This window comes from Homo sapiens, chromosome 7 (assembly GCF_000001405.40).
Source record: "Homo sapiens chromosome 7, GRCh38.p14 Primary Assembly".
NCBI classification, from domain to species: Eukaryota; Metazoa; Chordata; class Mammalia; order Primates; family Hominidae; genus Homo; species Homo sapiens.
In genome coordinates this window covers 69,304,167-69,325,689 of record NC_000007.14, presented here as the reverse complement: position 1 = coordinate 69,325,689, position 21,523 = coordinate 69,304,167, and the positions used below count along the sequence as shown (strand labels likewise).

At 43.9% G+C, this 21,523-nt stretch overlaps 1 annotated feature.

Annotated features, from left to right (window-relative positions):
* Positions 3,681–3,843: a silencer, noted in NCBI's record as "fragment chr7:68786833-68786995 (GRCh37/hg19 assembly coordinates)". NCBI's record gives its function as "represses an EF-1alpha promoter that drives an FKBP-Casp9 reporter gene in an ReSE screen in HepG2 liver carcinoma cells {active_cell/tissue: HepG2}" and the evidence as "EXISTENCE:reporter gene assay evidence [ECO:0000049][PMID:32094911]".

Sequence of the window (21,523 nt, the reverse complement as noted above, 5' to 3'; positions counted from 1 at the left end):
GGATTTTAAGCCACTTTTGCGTGAAGATGAGAGCCTTCGTCTGTCATTTCTGTGCATAATTTGCTGCATGTTATAACATAGCAGCAGTGGATACTAGAACCAAGTTCTAGCAGGTAAAAGCTCAAGGCAGATGAAATGTCTTTTGAAATAAATGGAAGTCATTTGACGGTAGCCTGAGAGATTACAAAAATCAGACATATATTGTAAAAGAAGAATGACTTTTTTCTTTCTTTCTTTCTTTTTTTTTTTGAGTCAGAGTCTCACTGTGACGCCCAGGCTGGAGGCAATGGTGCAATCTCGGCTCACTGCAGCCTCCATCTCCCGGGTTCAAGTGATTCTCCTGCCTCAGCCTCCCAAATAGCTGGGATTACAGGTGCCGGCCACCATGCCTGGCTAATTTTTGTATTTTTAGTAGAGACGGGGTTTCACCATGTTGGCCAGGCTGGTCTCGAACTCCTGACCTCAGGCGATCCACCTGCCTCGGCCTCCCCAAGTTCTGGGATTATAGGCGTGAGCCACCACGCTTGGCCAGAATGAATTTTTTCATAGGTGAACTGGAAACTCCAAGAAACATTGTATGTTACAGCAACTAACTAAATCTCATTCGTCACTCTGGAACCATCTTCCTTGAGTAAATACTATATATATTAGTGCTTGGTTAGAGCCATTCAGAAAGGCCCAGTCATGTTTCTGGGCCTAGGTCTGGGACTGAAATTCTCTGGAAGTTGATTTCTTACTGTTGGGCTTAATTTTCTTTCTCTTTTTTTGAGACAGAGTCTCACTCTGTTGCCCAGGCTGGAGTGCAGTGGCGTGATCTTGGCTCACTGCAACCTCTGCCTCCTGGGTTCAACTGATTCTCCTGTCTCAACCTCCCAGGTAGCTGGAATTACAGGCATGCACCACCACACCCAGCTAATTTTTGTATTTTTAGTAGAGACGGGGTTTCACCATGTTGGCCAGGCTGGTCTCTAACTCCTGACCTCAGGTGATCCGCCCACCTTGGTTTCCCAAAGTGCTGGGATTTCAGGCATGAGCCACCGTGTCCGGCCCTCGGCTTGATTTTCCAAGTAGCTCATCTCCGCAGCTTCCAGCCATCCACTCATGGGTTCTATTTTACCACAAACTTGCTTCCCCCAGCCGAGTGCCAACTCTTCCTCCTCTTATTCTGTTTCTGCTGGAACTTCCAACACTTCTTTTTCAGGTTAAGGGTTTGAAAACATTATTTTAGAGAAACTGTTCTGTTTCTAAATGCCCTTAAGGAATGTACTTAGAGGTGGCTGCATTAATTCCGGTGCTAATTCCTCTAATTAGCTTGAGCTGCTATGAGAAATACCACAGACTGGGTGACTTGGAAACAACAGAGATGTATTTCTTACAGTTCTGGAGGCTGAAAGTCCAAGATCAGGGTGCCAGCGTGGTCAGGTTCTGGTGAGGGTCGTCTTCTGGGTTACAGACGACCAACTTCATGTTGTATCCTACATGGCTAAAAGAGAGCAAGCTGTTTCTCTGCCCTCTCTTTTTTTTTTTTTTTTTTTGTGAGATGGTTTCACTCTTGTTGCCCAGGCTGGAGTGCAATGGTGTGATCTCAGCTCACTGCAACCTCTGCCTGCCCGGTTCAAGTGACTCTCCTGCCTCAGCCTCCCAAGTAGCTGGAATTACAGGAATGCACCACCACGCCCAGCTAAGTTTTGTATTTTTGGTAGAGATGGGGTTTCACCATGTTGGCTAGGCTAGCCTCAAACCACTGACCTCAGGTGATCTCCCCACCTCGGCCTCCCAAAGTGCTGGGATTACAGGCATAAGCCACTGCGCCCTGCCTCTTTTTTTTTTTTTTTAAATTAAACTTTTGAGACAGGGTTTTGCTCTGTCACCCAGTCTGGAGTGCAGTGGTGCGATCATAGCTCATTGCAGCTTTGAACTCCTGGGCTCAAGTGATTCTCCTGACTCAGCCTCCGGAGTAGCTGGGATCAAAGGCACATGCCACCATGCACAGCTAATTTTTAAATTATTCTTTTTTAGAGATGGGGTCTCACTATATTGCCCAGGCTGGTTTTGAACTCCTTGCTTCAAGAAATCCTCCCACCTCAGCCTCCCAAAGCAATGAGATTACAGGCGTGAGCTGCTGCACCCAGCTTGGCCTCTTCTTGTCTCATTCATGAGGGCTTCATTCTCATGACTTAGTTACCTCCCCAAAGCCTCCCCTCCACATACCATCACATCGGAGATTAGATTTCAATGTATGAATTTTGGAGGGGACACAAATATTCGACTCATAACACCCCCATTTTGCAGGTGAAGCAAAAGAAAGCCAGAGAACTTGTAACTCATGTGAAAGCCATGTGTGTGTAAAAATTAGAAGAGTGCCTGACACACAGCAGATGAACAATACCATTATCTAGAATTAATTAAATTGCTAAGAGTCAAAGCAGGAGCTCAGAAGGTCTAAGATGGGGCAAGTCACAAGGGGATGGTCTATGGGCCCAAAGAAAATCCACCAGTGCTGGGCGCGGTGGCTCACATCTGTAATCCCAGCACTTTGGGAGGCCGAGGTGGGTGGATCACTTCAGCTCAGGAGTTTGAGACCAGCCTGGGCAACATGGCAAGACCCTGTCTCTACAAAAAATGCAAAATTTACCCAGGTGCGATGATGTGCGTCTGTGGTCCCAGCTACTTGGGAGGTTGAAGTGGGAGGATCTCTTGAGTCTGGGAGGTGCAGGTTGTGGTGAGCCGAGATCGTGCCACTGCATTCCAGCCTGGGTGACAGAGCAAGACCCTGTCTCAAACAAACAAACAAAAACAAAGAAAAAAAGAAAATCCACCAATCCACCAGAGTGGTTCAAAGTCAATGCTCCCCAAGTTTTGCATGTGGCAGCATTCACAGAAAATGGTAATATTTTTGGCCAGGCATGATGGCTCATGCCTTAAATCTAGCACTTTGGGAGGCTGAGGTGGGTAGATCACCTGAGGTCTGGGGTTCAAGACCAGCCTGGCCAACATGCTGAAACCCTGTCTCTATTAAAAATACAAAAATTAGCTGGGTGTGGTGGTGCACACCCGTAGTCACAGCTACTTGGGAGGCTGAAGTGGGAGGATTGCTTGAACCCAGGAGGTGGAGGTTGCAGTGAGCCGAGATTGTGCCACTGCACTCCAGTCCAGGCGACAGTGCGAGACTCCGTCAAAAGGAGCCCTAAGGCTCTCTAAATGTTTTGTAAAAGTCATGCTTTTTATGATTGTGTCAAAGGTGTTGTAAAGGGTGATTTATCTATATTACCATAAAATTTCGTTGGAAAAATTGTGCCTCAACTTCCCAGTCAACCTTTAAATCCTTTTGACTTTAAGAATATGGTTGGAGTTTTAACCTACATTTTTAATATACAACATAATCATCGCTTCATGAATTTTCATTTATTTTTACAAGATGAAGTCACAGTCAAAATATTTTTACTTTTGACATTGAGATTTTGGTCTGTGTTTTAAGTGCATTTTCTTTAAGAGGCCCTTTTCTGATACCAAAAATCCAAGGATAACAGGGACCTTTCTGTACATATTGTTCTGTGTTATTAACAACCAATGCAGTATAAGTCTTTAGCCAGGTGCGGTGGCTCACACCTGTAATCCCAACACTTTGGGAGGCCGAGCCAGGTGGATCACTTGAGCTCCAGAGATCGAGACCAGCCTGGGCAATATAGTGAGACCCTGCCTTTACAAAAAGTAAAAAAATTAGCAGGGCAAAGTGTTGTGCACCTGTAGTCCCAGCTACGTGGGAGGCTGAGATGGGAGGGTTGCTTGAGCCTGGGAGGCAGAGGTTGCAGTGAGCTGAGATTGCGGCGCTACACTCAAGCCTGGGTGACAGAGTGAGAGCCTGTCTCAAAAAAAAAAAGAAAGAAAAAATAACAAACAACAAAAAACAAATAATAAGTTTTTAGTAGGTGAGAGATTATACCCAGGTAACTTGTTCAGTGTGCTTTCAGTTACTGGGTCTAACCTCAAAGGCACTAGCTCTGAAAGACCACTTGAATTAGTGTGCTTCAAATTCTATGGTTCTATTAATGTTGATTGTCAAGATACACTTATTATTATACTTTAATTTATATAATCCAACTGGAAAGAGTCAGTGGAGGAGGTTTGGGGCTTTCTTGTGCTGGAGATCATCAACAAAGAAATAGATGAGGGCTGGGCATGGGGCTCATGCCAGTAATCCCAGCACTTTGGGAGGCCGAGGTGGGAGGATCATTTGAGGCTAGGAGCTCGAGACTAACCTGGGTAAGATGGGGAGACCCTATCTCTATAAAAATAAAAATAAAATAATTAGGCATGGTGGTGTGCGCCTGTAGTCCCAGCTACTCAGGAAGCTGAGATGGAAGGATCGCTTGAACTCAGGAATTTGAGGTTGCAGTGAGCTATGATCATAGCACTACACTCCAACTTGGATGACACAGTCAGATTTTGTCTCTCTAAAAAAATTAAAAAGAAAAAAGAAATAGGTGAGTATCAGTTCTAAACCCCTGAGATGTTCATCTGACTGTGGATAGAGGGTTGTCCGTAATACTCCTTTTGTTTTCTTTTTCTTTTTTGAGATGGAGTTTCACTCTTGTTGCCCAGGCTGGAGTGCAGTGTTGCGATCTCAGCTCACTGCAACCTCCGCCTCCCGGGTTCTAGAGCTTCTCCTGCCTCAGCCTCCCGAGTAGCTGGAATTATAGGCATGCACCACAACGCCTGGCTAATTTTGTATTTTTTTTTTTTTTTTAGTAGAGACGGGGTTTCTCCATGTTGGTCAGGCTGGCCTTGAACTCCCGACCTCAAGCCCGCCTCGGCCTCCCAAAGTGCTGGGATTACAGGTGTGAGCCACCGTGCCTGGCCAATACTCTTGGCACAACTGGCAATTGAACATCATATTTAAAAGTCCCCTGGCATCTCCAAGCTGGGACCTTTCAACCTCAACCCCTCTCCTTGCCATTTTCATTGGCCAGGCAGAAACAAAAATGGCACAGGTGATGCCCTTTGGAGTTTGCATTGATTCCTGCCGCCCTTTGGTGTCTGATGAGGGCCTTGTTTCCATGCAATGGCTGAACAGACTGCTGGGCCATGGGTTGAGAGGCTCCTCTTAGCCTTCTCTTGTCCATTTACTCTTGCTGTGACCACCATGCTGTTTGGTGCTTTCATCCTTTTTGCATTTGTGTGTTTTCCAAATTAGTAGTTTGCTCTTGTGTGTTGACCTTTTTAATATTCTGTATTTTGATTGGTTGTTCTTACCATTCTCTCTCATTTTCAGCCTGGCTAACCCTCCAGGGAAGAGGTGAAACAGCTATCCAATAAAAATACAAAATACTGAAAAGGTCAAAATACACTATTACAATAAATTACCATAACTCAAACAGGGAAGCAGGCATTAAAATTCTGATACGTACAAGGATGGAGATTGGCATGAGAGTTGAAAATGGCATTGCATTAATGCATTTGGATGTCAGAGTTCATCCAGAAGAGAGTAAACATTCTGAAACCAGAGTCTGAACATTATTTTGTGAGTCTTCTATGCTGTCACACCCCAGCATTGTTGAATAATAGAAATGCTGTCCTGAGCCGACGACTTTCACCGTTTTTCCTTCTTCCCCAGCAGTGAGGACAAGAGGGGAAAAAGAAAGAACAAACATCGTCTCTGCAAGTTGAAACTCTTAAATCTGGCTTGCCAAGAATCCGTTACAATTTATGGTTGGTCAAGACACAGGGCATTCATTTTATTTATTTTATTATCTGGGTTCTACGGCTGTCATTTGGCAGAAATGTCAGGTGCATAAGATAGAAGCACATAGGTTGGGTAATATGGCAAGCTCCTCTCACTACAAAGAATAAAAAAATAGGCAGGTGTGGTGGCTGGCGCATCCCTGTAGTCCTATGGAGGACTGAAGTGGGAGGATCACTTGAGCCTGGGAGATTGAGGCTGCAGTGAGCCATGATCATGCCACTGTACTCCAGCGTGGGCGACAGAGTAAGACCCTGTCTCAAAAAATAATAACAATAAAAAAATAAAAAAAGAAATAAGAAGAGACCTAGTTCTAATACTGCCATGGACTTGCTATGGCTTAGGCCATTTCCCTAACACTCTTAACCTAGTTTGCCTCATAAAAACATCAAAGTCATTATGAATATCACACAAGATATTGGGGATAAAAGTGCCTAACACAGGTTGTACCACTTTGCAAGTCTTGAGCAATATAAACTATCTTTTTCTCACCCCCCCCCGAGCTCTGTGATCTTGGACAAGTCTCTGAACCTCTCTGAGCCCTGCTTGCTTTCTTTTTTCTAGAGCTAGGAGGAGAAACCTAGTGGTCAAGTGGATGATTCAATGACTTGCCAGGGAGTCTCTCTTCCCTCCATCCCATGTGGGCAGCAAAGTTCAATGAATCAGATCTCCAACCTGCAAGGCCATTTCATATTGGTTGGATCAATAGAAGCTCCATTTTTTTTCCCTCTGAGATATCGCCAGCAGACATCACTTGGTGGCTACTGACAGCCAGGCAGCTGGCAGCTGTGGCCCGCTCACCTCTCCTGCCTGTCACCCAGTAATGATGGCAGAACCCCACAGGGGCAGGGTGTGCTATCAAACGCCTGACGGAACTTCAGGGGACAGAGCTTCTGCTCATGGGCATCGCAATCTAATCGGCTCCTGCTTGAACAAATTATCTCTTAAGTGCTAGCGTGAAGAGAGCTGTGTTAATCTACTAAATCGTAAACCTTCCCCGCAGTGTGATGCCGTGATCCAGACAGATACTAATCTGCAGCCATGCTGTCAGTTTTGGTTTTGACACCAACACTTCGAATTGCCAACAGGAAATCATATTTGACATTTAATTCCAATCACACAGAGGCTTTCATTGAAAGCACTGTCAGTTTACCTTTATTTGGGAAGAAAGAAGACAATATGCTCATGTCTTCTGGTAATTTTTTTTTCCCTTGGAGGAGGTGGGGTGGAGAGGAGAGAGGAAGAAAATTCAAACTTCAAATAATGCACCAGCCGAAGAAGTGCTGTAATCCTCATGTCACCCTCATGTTGAATCCACTCCCACGTGCCTTTGGTTTTCATATTCTCACATTTGCCGCATTCCAGTAAATCTCCATCATTTTACACAGATTAGGCATTAATTCAGGTCAAATCAGGATTAATTAGTTAGTCTGAACCAGCCAGTGGCATCAATGTGCCAGCAAGCATTTTAAAATAATCTGTTCTTATTTTGAGTCAGTATTTTCCGAGAGTGGGACCTCTGGATAAAATTGCAATCAAGTATCAGATAGGACTGGAAAATTTAAAAAGCAAAATGTCAGTTTCAGCAATGTTTAAATCTCACCTGTCACTAGGATGCAACCTGAGTCCTGTGGGAAATAAAGGAATGGGTGGAGGGCTGGAGAGAGGGAATGTGTTCAGAGAGTAAGAGAATCAACCTGGAGGCTGGGTGTGGTGGCTCACAGCTGTAATCCCAGTGCTTTGGGAGGCCAAGGCAGGAGGATCGCTTGAAGCCAGGAGTTCGAAACCAGCCTGGACAACACAGGGAGACTGCCCCACCCCCATCTCTACAGAAAATTAAAAAATGAGCCAGGCATTGTGGTGCATGCCTGTAGTCCCAGCTACTTGGGAGGCTGAGGCAAGAGGGTGGCTTGAACCTATGAGGTCGAGGCTGCCAGTGAGCTATGATTATGTCACTGCACTCCAGCCTGGGTGACAGAGTGAGACCCTGTCTCTGAAAAAAAAAAAAAGAAAGGAAAAAAGAACCAGCCTTTCAAGTCAAGGGTTGTTTAATTTGAGAGTGTTCCAGAACCAGCCAGAGAACTTCTAAAAGACAGATCTCAGTGGGTGCCACCAACTTTCTGATTCAGCAGGGCCCTGGAGTGGGGCCCCCAAATTTGCAGTTTTAACAAGTTCCCAGTTGATGCTGATGTTGCCGGCCTGGGATTACCCTACTTTGAGAATCACTGTTTTAAAATCAGCATACCTGGTGGCCTTTAGATAGGGCAGAATAGAAACATACCCTGAGACGCGAAGAGTGGGGCTGGGGAAAACGTTTACCTCCAAATCAAACAGAAAGCATATCCCCTCTCTCTACGCCCTTTATCCATCCCTTTATTTCCCACAGGACTCAGGTTGAGAAAGGTAGCATTTCAGTGGCAGGCAAGATTTAAACGTGGCTAAAATGGACTTTTTTTTTTCCCATTTTGAGTCCTGTCTGATACTTGATTGCAATTTTATCCAGAAGTCTCACTCTCAGGAAATGCTGACTCAAAATAAGAACAGATTATTTTAAAATGCTTGCTGGCACATTGATGCCACTGGCCTGCAGACTTGGCAGGGAGGTCGGAAGTGCAGCCCCCAAACCAGCCAGTATTTGAGGACTAAGGGACTGCATTAGTCTGTTCTCATGCTGCTGATAAAGACATACCAGAGACTGGGTAGTTTATAAGAATAAAAAGAAGTTTAATGGACTCACAGTTCCATCTGGCTGGGGAGGCCTCACAATCATGGCGGAAGGCGAAAGGCACGTCTTTCTTGGTGGCAGACAAGAGAGTATGAGGACCAAGTTAAAGGAGTTTCCCCTTATAAAACCATCAGATCTCGTGAGACTTACTCACTACCATGAGAACAGTATGGGGAAAACCGCCCCCATGATTCAGTTATCTTCCACTAGGTCCCTCCCACAACATATGAGAATTATGGAAGCTACAATTCAAGATGAGATTTGGGTGGGGACAAAGCGAAACCATATTCAGGGCCAATTATGTGGTATAGCTGATCTTTTCCCATCTCACCTGTTGTCTTCCCACATTTTGACTATTTTGGCAATATAAGAAGGTGTCAGGGCCACAGAGCAAACTGAAGGCAACTTATTTGGAGCACTGAAAATGAAATCAAAAGTGAAACTCTTGGTTAGGATAATGCATGCTCATTATGTGTGGGAGAGGCTCAAATATAGTAGAAAGAGCACTACATTGGGATTCAAAAAATCTGAGTTAAGTTCCAATCTTGGCTTTGTAACTTAACCATTACTTGAGATTGCTAAGCCTCCATTGCTTCAACTGTAAAAGGAGGTAGTGATACTTATTGCATGGAATTGCTCTGCAAGTTAAGTGAGAAAGTGCACTGTATCAGTCCGTTTTTGCACTGCTATAAAGAAATATCCAAGACTGGGTAATTTATAAAGGAAAGTGGTTTAATTGATTCACAGTTCTGCATGGCTGGGGAGGCCTCTGGAAACTTACAATCATGGCAAAAGGAGAAGCAGGAATGTCTTACGTGGTGGCAGGCAAGAGAGATAGTGTGTGTTAGGAGGAAATGTCAAACACTCATAAAATAAAACCATCAGATCTTGTGAGAACTCATTCGCTATCAAGAGAACATCACGGAGGAAACTGCCCCCGTGATCTAATCACCTCCCACCAGGTCCTGCCCTTGACACGTGGGGATTATGGGGATTACAGTTCGAGATGAGATTTTGGTGGGGACACAGAACCAAACCATATTATGCACCAATATAAAGTAGGTGCTTAATAAATGCTTGCATCCTTTCTTCCTTAAGGATATCCCTCATCTAGGTCATTTTTTTCCCTTTAAGTTATATTGACTCCATTGTGGTTACAGAGCAGATAAAATTGCTTCAGATGTTCCCTTGATGTGGACGTAATTTTGTTACTCGACTTTGCACAGATCAGAGGTCTATCTTTCTGTTTTGTTTTGTTTTGACTGTTTTTTTTTTTCCAATAGAGATGGGATCTTGCTATGTTGCCCAAGTTGGTCTCAAACTCCTGGACTCAAATGGTCTTCCTCTTTAGCCTCCCAAAGTGCTGGGATTACGGGCATGAGCCACTGTGGCTGGCCAGAGGTCTATCTTTATAAGAAGATCTTGAGAGGCCACTTGGCTTGCTGAACATTTGGGCTGGAGAGGAAGGAAGAGAGAGATAATGAAAGATGGGATGTGGGGTTGGGGGTGGTTAAAGAGAACAGGGAGGTGGTCTTCTCTGCTCTCTCTTCAGACTCTACGATCCTCTGAATCCCAGAGGATCTAAATGGCATCTAAAGCTTCCTGGGAGGGAAAGCCTGAATCCTTGCAATGGGAATTCCACTCAGAGATGCTACTTGGAAGAAATACTCTACTTATATGATTCTGCCACATATGGGGAGCTCTATTCCCATAGCAACAGAGACGGAAAAAGGCAAAATCTCAACTGGGCTTGTGAGGCAGTGTGTCTTTTAGCTTCTTGACGGTAACTCTCTTGGGCTGACCTGAGCTTCCTAGCCCTTTGAATCTTGGTCACCCAGCTGAGAATGCCAGACTGCCATGGCTGGTGAGAGGTGTTCGTTCAGCAACTACTAGCTGAGGGCTTTCTCTGGGGGCCGGTTGCTATGGATACACAGATGAATAAGATGCACTACCTATGTGGTACTTGCCCAAAAGGACTGGAGGGGCTGGTGGGGGATTTGTAACCCCCAAACTCTATTACAGTAAGAAATGTGTTATAATAGGATCAAATAAAATGAAGCATGACTGACAGGAAATGACTGATTCAGCAAGAAGTAATCAGGGCCCCCGAAAAAATGGTGGTGGGCTATGTTGAAGATCAGTGAGGTAGATGAGACATTTGGTGGCATTAACGTAGAAAGCCAGGCTCAAGCTTAGAGCTGGATTTGTATGACGGGAGACTTGACCTTGAAAAGGAAGCCTAGCAAAAGCATGATGATTGGCCAGGCATAGTGACTCCCACCTGTAATCCCAGCTACTTGGGAGGCCAAGGTGAGAGGGTTGCTTGAGCCTAGGAGTTCAAGACCAGCCTGGGCAACATAGTGAGACCCCATCTCTACCAAACCCACCCCCAAAATTAGCCAGGCATTGTGGCATGCACCTGCAGTCACTGCTATTTGGGAGGCTGATGCAAGAGAATCGCTTGAGCCCAAGAGTTTGAGGCTGCAGTGAGCTATGATTACATCACTGCACTCCAGCCTGGGTGACAGAGCGAGACTCTGTCTCTACCACAAACAAACAAACAAGCAAACAAACAACAACCCCAAAGCATGGTGTCTCTTTGTCCTGGAGGAATAGGTGTTTATCACCAGGGAGTAGTTCATCAAAACAAGGTCCAGATGGCCAGAGGCTGGGGTATGGGTGTCAGTGGGGACAAAGCTCATTTTTGAGAATTAGGCCACATGATTAGAGAAGAATTAACTGACATCCAAATGCTCAGAATATGAAAGTAGAGCTCCTTAATTCTCCCCATTTAAAGGCAAGAGTCTCTCAAATGTCCGAGAGGGACTGAACTTTCTCCTGGTACCAGGAGGCTCCAGGAGGGCTGGGTGGGCAGGGATGAAGGAAAGCCCGTATCATCACTGGCTGTGCCCTGCCTCAAGGTGTACCAGATGAGACCTCAAGGGCCCTCAGACCTCTGTATTCCAGAAGTAGTCTGTTTGACAGTGAAGGAAGAAACTGGACAAAGATTCCGCTGGAGCCACTGGTCTGTTACCTTGTGCTGTGAGACAGGGGTCCCCACCTCTGGGCTGTGGACAGATACCAGCCCATGGCTTGCTAGGAGCCAGGCCGCACAGCAGGAGGTGAGCGGTGGGCAAGTGAGCAAAGCTTCATCTGTATTTACAGCCACTCCCCATTGCTCACATTACCACCTGAGCTCCACCTCCTGTCAGATCAGTGGCAGCATTAGATTCTCATAGGAGCATAAACCCTATTGTGAACTGTGCATACGAGGGATCTAGGTTGTGCACTCCTTATGAGAATCTAATGCCTGATGATCTGTCACTGTCTCCCATCACCCCCAGATGGGACCATCTAGTTGCAGGAAAACAAACTCAGGGTTCCCACTGATTCTACATGATGGTGAGTTGTATAATTATTTTATTATATATTACAATGTAATAATAATAGGGCCAAGCACAGTGGCTCATTCCTGCAATCCCAGCACTTTGGGAGGCCGAGGTGAGTGGATCACCTGAGGTCAGGATTCAAGACCAGCTTGGCCAAGATGGTGAAACCCTGTCTCTACTAAAAAAAAAAAAATACAAAAATTAGCTGGGCCTGGTGGCCGGCACCTATAGTCCCAGCTACTCGGGAAGCTGAGGCAGAGAATCACTTGAAATCAGGAGGCGGAAGGTTGTAGTGAGCTGAGATCACACCAGTGCACTCCAGCCTGGGTAACAGAGTAAGACTCTGTCTCAAATAAATAAATAAATAATAATAGAAATAAAGTGCACAATAAATGTAATGCACTTGAATCACCTCAAAACCATTCCTGCCAACCCAGTCTGTGGAAAAATTGTCTTCCACAAAACTGCTTCCTGGTGCCAAAAAAAAAGGTTGGGGACTGCTGCTGTGCAGTATTGACCAAGACTGGCATTATCTTCCTGTCTTCAGTACTCCTGATAACATGTGACATGCAGGAAAGCCATGCCAGAGACTCATAGTGAGAATCTAATCCTCTCCGCAACCATCCATGGAATAATGGCCTTCCACAAAACTGGTCCCTGGTGCCAAAATGTTTGGCGACCACTGCTGTAAGAGGACTTAAAGAAGATGGTCTTCTGAAGGCTCCCAGAAAAGAAAAGAGGAGACCTTCTTCAAAAGCTCACCATCTCTCTCTTTTCTCCAGATTCCCTGACACCTTTTGGGCGTGGAGAAGGGGTGTAGGGAGTGTGCATGTGTGCATGCACACATGTGTGTGTTTGTGAGCATGGGCACGTGCCTGTGAACGTGTGCTTTCCTGCTGGTCCATGTCTAATACTCTTCTTGTTGTGAGAAGACCATAGCGGCCGTGGCAACAGCAGGGACTGACATTGTTGAGAAACATGGAAGGTGTGTGAATTGTCCATTTCACACTGCTCCTTTCATGCTGACCCCCTCCCTGGTGATAATGAAACAAGAGGAGGATGGGAATATTGTGTTTTCTGTTCCTGCCACTTTCTAGGGCAGCTGGTTGCTATGCAATCTTGTGAAAACTGTCGTCTGCAAGTGAGAGCTACCTGACCACGGTGCCGGATGCTCCTCTATCCACAGGGGTGTTTGTTTATTTCACCTTTCACCACATCAAGACCTAGTTAGATTGAGCCAATTCCTCCAGTCTTAACTGGGGCATGGGAGCTTTGGACAATGCCTCCCATAAAGTAGACATCCAGGAAACATTTATTAAGGATAGTGATGGTGGTGAGCATGAACAAATTCTTGGAAACAGAGTGGCGGTGAAGACTCAGTTGATACATCTCTGCCCATCAGATTTAAATAGGAAGAATTAAACTGATGGATTATATTAGTATTTGGAGGTTTCTTTTTTAAATTTTTTAAATTTTATTTATTTATTTATTTATTGAGATGGAGTTTCACTCTTGTTGCCCAGGCTGGAGTGCAATGGCGTGATCTCAGCTCACTGCCATTGCCACCTCCCGGGTTCAAGTGATTCTCCTGCCTCAGCCACCAAAGTAACTGGGATTACAGGTGCCTGCCACCATGCCTGGCTAATTTTTTGTATTTTTAATAGAGATGGGGTTTCACTGTGTTAGCCAGGCTGGTCTAGAACTCCTGACCTCAGGTGATCCACCCATCTCGGCCTCCCAAAGTGTTGGGATTACAGGCGTGAGCCACCGCACCCAGCTTGGTTTCTTTTTTTTTTTTTTTTTTCTTTTGGATACAGCATGGACTTTGTTGCCATCCAGGTCACTGTGTGACATTGGGCAAGTAACTTTACATCTCTGAGTGTAAATTCCTCCCCTCATTTCTTGGAGTTACGAGCATCAAATACGATTGATCATGCTAAGTATAGATTATAGTCAATAAATGTTAATGGTCATGATCATTGCATAGTGTAGTGGTTGAAGACATGGACTCTAGGGCCACACTATGTAGGTTTGACCTCTGACACTGCTGCTTACCTGCTGTGTGACCTTGACCTCTCTCTGTCTCAGTTTCCACATCAGTGAAATGGACACAATAAGGGAACCTGCCTTAGGAGGTTTTATGATGATTCAGCTAATTAATTTTTGCAAATTGCTTTGCATCGTTCTTGGCATATAGTAACTGCTAGATAAATATTTGTGAAATCAATAAATGAAATTAAGTATTGCATTGTAAAGTTTAATATGGAGAAAATCTCTTGACAATGAGAAAGACAGTAAAAACCCAACATTTCCCAAAATTTGTACATGTGGATTATTTCTGTATTGAACAATTTGCCATGCAACAAACCTCAAATCTCACTGGCCAACAGAAATAGTAATTTTTGGCCATGTTTTAGGTGGGTTTCTGCTGTGGCTCATCAGGTCTCTGTGCTATATAACAAATCACTCTGGGATCCAGGCTGCAGGAGTAGCCTCAATGTGGGATGTGTCCATACTTGGTTATTTTTGAGACAGTCTTGCACTGTCACTCAGGCTGGAGTGCAGTGATGCAATCACAGCTCACTGCAGCCTTGAACTCCTGGGCTCAAACGATCCTCCTGCCTCAGCCTCCCGAGTAATTGGTACTGTAGGTGCACACCACCATGCTCAGCCATTTAAAATTTTTTTTGTAGAGATGGGGCTTCGCTATGCTGCCCAGGCTGGTCTCGAACTCCTGGCCTCAAGCAATCCTCCCACCTTGCCCTCCCAAAGTGCTGGGATTACAGGCATGAGCCACTGCACCTGGCCTGCCCATACTTCTGACAGAGGGGAAGAGCAAGTGGTCTGAGAAGAACCCTGCAATTGCATTTAGAATTTCTATTTGGATGTGACGTGGTCAAGCTCAGACTAGTCACATGGCAGTGGATCAGAATGCACCATTTCCTTTCTGGCAAGTGGCAGTGCATAATTGTGAACAAGACAACTAGATACCAAAACAACGAAGGTAGTCAGATGACATGGCACCATTTTACATGAGGAACAGTTGAAAGTATTTAGCCTGTTGAGCAGAAGTCCAACAGGAGTAATAGTAGATGTCTTCACATATTTGAAAGCTATTTGGTAAAAAATTGTTGAAATATATCTGCACAGCTCTGAATTAGGGTACAAAGCACAAGGTAGTATTTGGCTCAACATAAATTCTAACAAAAACTGGCTGCCGGGTGCGGTGGCTCACGCCTGTAATCCCAGCACTTTGGGAGGCCGAGGTGGGCGGATCACGAGGTCAGGAGATCGAGACCATCCAGGCTAACATAGTGAAACCCCGTCTCTACTAAAAATCCTGTATCAAAAAAATAAAAAATAAAAAAAGCTCGGCATGGTAGTTCACGCCTATAATCTATAATCCCAGCACTTTGGGAGGCTGAGGCAGGAGAATTGCCTGAACCTGGGAGGCAGAGGTTGCAGTGAGCCGAGATTGCACCACTGCACCCCAGCCTGGGCAACAAGAGCAAAACTCTGTCTCAAATAAATAAATAAATAAAAATAAAAATAAAAAGTTTCACTGCCCCTAAAAATCCTCCATCCCCTGCCCCCATATTCCCCTCCCCCAACTTCTAGCAACCAACCACTGATCTTTTTCCTGTCACCTTTTCCAGAATGCCACATACTTGGGATGGTACAATGTGTAGTCTTTACAGATTGGTTTCTTTCTCATTTAGTAATATGCATTAAAATTTCCTCCATATCTTCTTGTGGCAAATGTGAATTTATATTCTTATTTGTCTCCTTTGCATAGAAGGTAGTGTACTTCTCTGTTAAGTGCATTGCTGTTTCTTTTAAACGGAAAATAAACATATGTTGGTGCTTTTCACATCAGTACATGGAGATCTTCATTCTTTTTGCTTTCTTTTTCTTTTTGGTACAGCACATTGAATTGCTATCCTATAATTTATTTCACCAGTCCTCTCTTGGCAAACAGGAAAGTCATCCTTTTACAAATAGTCATGCATTGCTTAAAGATGGGGATGCATTCTGGGAAATGCACTGTTAAGCAATTTCATGGTGCTGACATCACAGAGTGCACTTACACAAACCTAGATGGTCTAGCCTACCACACACCTAGGTTATATGGTCTAGCCTATTGCCCCTAGGCTGCACACCTGTTCAGCAAGTGACTGTACTGAATACTATAGGCAATTATGACACAATAATAAGCTTTGTGTTTCTAAACATAGATAAAACATAATAAAAACACAGTATTATAATTTTGTGGGAGCACTGTTGTATATGCGGTCTGTTGTTGACAGAATGTCATTGTGCAGTGCATGACTGTAATGCTGAAATAAGGCTCATGTCCATGTCATTGTGGACGTGCCTGTGTATATCTGAAGGCTATATCCCACCTGGCATTGCTGGATGAAGAGGACTAGAGATTTATGTTATGTTTTGTCAACTTGCAGTAGTATAAACCAAGGGAACTGAATTAGTCTTCTGTAGCTGGCAGGTTTTTGTTTATTTTTCTATATATCTAGGTAATTTCTGCCTTGAGAATATTGCTGCTGTGTAATCAGATATATAAATATTCATAACTTATATCTTAATTGTGAATGGTACCCTTTAGCATTACAAATGCCCTTTTTTGTGTCATTCAATGTTTTTTTTTATCTCAATTTCATCTTGTCTAATATTAATATAAACCTTACTTTCATTTTGCTTGGATTTGCCTGGTATACGTTTGCCTAGTCGTTTATATTTTATTTTGGATTGCTTTGTTCTACATATGTCTCTTTTATACAGCATGGAGTTTGGATTTGTTATGTGATAGGATTTAAAATTCTCTTACTTTTATTAATGATTGAGGTTTGTTTCCATACTGATATGTATGCTTGGGTTTTTCTCATATTGCACTCTTTTTATAGTTTCTTTTTAAAAAGTATTTCACTGTGATCTTTGCTCTGTGTGTGTGTAATTCTTCTGATATGCAGGAAGGTTGGTATTTTTATTCTAGTCACTACCTCATAAAATTAATTGTAACTTTATATAATCACAGTTTCTATTTCTTTACAGTGTCTAATTGTTTCCTAGGCTGAACAGTTATAAACTTAAAAACCTGATATGTTTCTGTGTTCTTCCTTCTTTCCTTCCCTCTTGTTAGTTTTCTGAATTTAGTCAATAGCATTATTTTTCTTGCAATTTACATTTGAACTGTCAGTAGGCTTTTATTACATCTAGTACACCTTGATTCCTTGATTTGTCAGCTTTAAATAATATTCTGTGACTCTCATCTATCCTAGAGGAAGTGAACAGAAAATTCCTACACTATGTCTCCTTCCTTCTTTGCCTTCTCTTGTCCATTATTTTTTGTTAGCTGTATCACTTCTAGATTGTCAGGGCTGATATCACTCATATTCTCTTCTGTCATCCAAATGCATGTATGTGTTTCAGTCTTCACTCTATAGCTCCTTGAGTTTTTGTAGGCTCAAAACCATTCATAGTCATTATACTTGAAGGATAATTTGGCTAAATAGAAAATTCTTGGCTGTGATTTTCGGGCATTTCTCCACTGTCTTCAAGTGTTGAATGTTGCCGTGGAAAAAACTGAAGCCAACCTGATCTTTTGCTCCTGTCAGTGAACTTTTAAATGCCACTCAAAGGCTTCTTTATGTATGAAGTTCAGCAGCTTTACACGGAGATGTATCAATGTTGACTATTCTGGGTCAATTTCCATGATCATGGTATTCCCTTTTAATTTGTAGAGTCAAGCCTTTTATTTCAGGAAAGTTTTCTTGAATTGTATTTGTTAAACATTTGTTTTCCTTCATTGCTTTGGCTCATTTTATTTTACATTCCATATTTTTAAAGGGAGTTTAATATTGGATCTCCTTTGCCTGTCTTTTACATTTGCAATTTTATCCCTCATGTTCTATAACTCTGTAATATTTTACATTCTTTCATTGAAGTTTTGTATGCCTATCTCTAGTATGCCTTTCTCTATTTTCTGCAGTATCTCTTCTCCCTTTTGCACCTTCAGATTTTGTTTTCATTTCTGTGATGTTTATTTTATTTTCTTTACTTCTTTCCTGAGTTTTGCCAGCCACATTTCATTAAGAAGTTTTGGAAATTGATAATTTTGCTGCTTTTTCCCCCTACATTTTTTCTTATAGAAAATCTGCATTGGTGCTGAATCAATGATCTATATTATTACTGTTGTTGTGTTTTATATTATATAATATTATATGTCTTTATTATTCCTATTCCCATAGTGAATAATCATGATACTATTATTATTATCATTTTTTTTTTGAGACACAGTCTTGCTCTGTTGCCCAATATGAAGTGCAGGGGTGTGGATCTCGGCTCACTGCAACCTCCGTCTCCTAGGTTCAGGCAGTTCTGTCCTCAGTAGCCTGTAACAGGCATGTGCCACCACACCCAGCTAATTTTTGTATTTTTAGTAGAGATGTGGTTTTGCCATGTTGGCCAGGCTGGTCTTCAACTCCTGGCCTCAAGTGGTCTGCTCGCCTTGGCATCCCAAAGTGCTGGGATTACAGGCATGAGCCACTGCACCAAGACTGTTGTTATTATTATTTATCATGGTATGGGTTGGATTTCCTGAGCCAGCTAATTGCTGGAAGATGCTGTGCAGGAAGGGGCCAGGGAGCCTCCTGAGCTTCCTCCTCTGCTCTGCAGAGACAAACTGCTGCCTGTAAACCTGGCTCATTCTGTGATTCTCTGTGCGCCCTCCCTCTTCCTCTGCCACTGTGAACCCCAGAGGCCATAAGTCAACAGCTCTGTTCACCAGTTTCTTTAAACATAGATTTTGCTCTTCCTTTTCCTTTTCTTCCTCTTCTTTTTTTTTTTTTTTTTGACAGAGTCTTGCTCTGTCACCCAGGCTGGAGTGCACTGGTACAATCTCGGCTCACTATAACCTCCACCTCCTGGGTTCAAGCAACTCTCCTGCCTCAGCCTCCTAAGTAGCTGGGATTACAGGCACCCCCCACTGTGCGTGGCTAATTTTTGTATTTTTAGTAGACAAAGAGTTTCACCATGTTGGCCAGGCTGGTTTCGAACTCCTGACCTCAGGTGATACGCCCACCTCAGGCTCCCGACGTGCTGGGATTATAGGCCTGAGCCACCATGCCTGGCCTTTTTTTTTTTTTTTTTTTTTTGATACAGGGTTTTGTTTTGTCATCCAGTCTAGAGTGCAGTGGTTGCAATTACAGCTCACTGCAACCTCAACCTCCTGGGCTCAAGCAATCCTCCTACCTCAGCCTTCCCAGTAGGTGGGAACCACATGTATCAGTCACCACACCAGACTAATTTTTACAGATTTTTTTTTTTTTTTGTAGAGATGGGGGACTTGCTATGTTGCCCAGGCTTGTCTCAAATTCTTGGGCTCAAGGAATCCTCCTGCTTCAGCCTCCTACAGTGCTGGGATTATAGGTATGAGCCACCACACCCGGCCAGAAGTTTCTCTTTAGGATGTGCACTTACTGTCAGTCCAGGGCATTTTCTGGTGCTTTCTGAGATTTGTCCCCCTAGGGCCTTCATGTCACCCTTAGTGCTTTCACTCTTCACTTCCATCACTTGAATTTCAGTTCAATCTCAGCCAATTTGCGTGCCCTGTCTTAGTCCATTTGTGTTGCTATAAAGGAATATCTGGCCAGGTACAGTGGCTCATTCCTATAATCCTAACACTTTGGGAGGCTGAGGTGGGAGGATTGCTTGAGGCCAGGAGTTCGAGACCAACCTGGGCAACAAAGTGAGACCCCCACATCTACTAAAAATGAAAAAATTAGCTGGGCATGGAGGCATAAATCCTTGTAGTCCTAGCTACTCAGGAGACTGAGGCAGAAGGGTCTCTTGAGCCCAGGAGTTGGAGGCTGCAATGAGCTATGATTGCAACAAGGTACTCCTGCCTGGGCAACAGAGCAAGACCCTGTCTCTAAAAAAAATTAAAAAAAAAAAAAAGGAATAACTGAGGCTGGGTAACTTATAAAGAGAAGAAGTTTGTTTGGCTCACAGTTCTGTAGGCTATACAAGGAGCATGGTGCCAGCAGCTGCTACTGATCAGGGCCTCAGGAAGTTTCCACTCATGGTGGAAGGTAAAGGGGAATGTGTGCTGATCACATGGTGAGAGAGGAAGCCAGAGAGAGAGAAGGAGGAGGTGACAGGTTCTTTTCAACAACCAATTCTAACAGGAGCTAAGAGTGAGAACTCACTCTTGAATGAATGGCTCCAAGACATTCATGATGGCTCTTTCCCCGGGACCCCAGGACCTCCCCCAAGGCCCCACCTCCAACACTGGGGATCAATTTTCAATTTTCAACATGAGATTTGGAGGTGACAAAACAAACTCTATTCAACCCCAGCAGGCCCCTTCCATGTACTTTGAAATCTGGAATATATCTGTCTCCAAATTCCACGGAAACAATGATTTGAGTATATATTAGTCCGTTTTCACACTGCTGTAAAGATACTACCTAAGATGGGGTAATTTATAAAGGAAAGAGGTTTAACAGACTGACAGTTCCACGTGGCTGGGGAGGTCTCAGGAAATTTACAGTCATGGCGGAAGGGGAGAAGCAGGCACTTCTTCACAAGGCAGCAAGAGAGAGAGTGTGTGTAGGAGACAAAGTCAAACACTTATAAAACCATCAGATCTAGTGAGAACTCACTCACTATCACAAGAACAGCATGAGGGAAACCTCCCCCATGATCCAGTCACCTCCCACCAGGTCCTGCCTTTGACACATGGGGATTATGGGGATTACAATTCAAGATGAGATTTGGGTAGGGACACAAAGCCAAACCATATCAGTGTGGTTTATAATTTTCCTTTTGCTTTTGTGTGATTTCTAAGGTGAAAAGGGGGTAAAATGAGGTAAAGGGGAAGAGGCTACTTATTTATTTAGCCATGTTCACACCAAAAGTCTTGCTTCTTTTTTTTTCTTTGAGACAGAGTCTTGCTCTGTCACCCAGGCTGGAGTGCAGTGGTGTGGTCTCGGCTCACTGCAACCTCTGCCGCCCAGGTTCAAGCAATTCTCCTGCCTCAGCCTCCCAAGTAGCTAGGATTACAGGCATCTGCCATTGCACCTGGCTAATTTTTATATTTTTAGTAGAGATGGGGTTTCACCATGTTGGCCAGGCTGGTCTCGAACTCCTGGCCTCAAGTAATCCACCCACCTCAGCCTCCCAAAGTGCTGGGATTACAGGCATGAGCCACAGCGCCCAGCCAAGTCTTGCTTCTTAAATCAAGAAGGCCATGCAGGGTTGGTATTTTCTTGCAGCACAGTTGTTTGGTAGAATTTAAAGCCTGGTGTGTTTAATTGTAAGTAGAGAAAATTGCTTTATGACAGAGATTTCTCTCAGGCCAGGGACAAAGTATCTCTCAGGATACTTGGGACAGTGTTATTTTTAGTGATAATAGTGCTTTCAGTACCTACAGATTCGGGATACCTTTCTCAGGAATCCAGAAAAGGTGTTTTTACAAGGCAATTAGCAAAGTTGTGTAATTTACACCTGCAGGCTCTCATAGTGGCTATCCATCTGATTGGTTTTCATCTGGAGCTGCAGAATGGCTAGAGTTCTGGACATCCTACTGTGATATCAAAACAGCTCTGGGTTATATCACAAAGGGGGCTTTCATACATTGCTGATAGGATTATC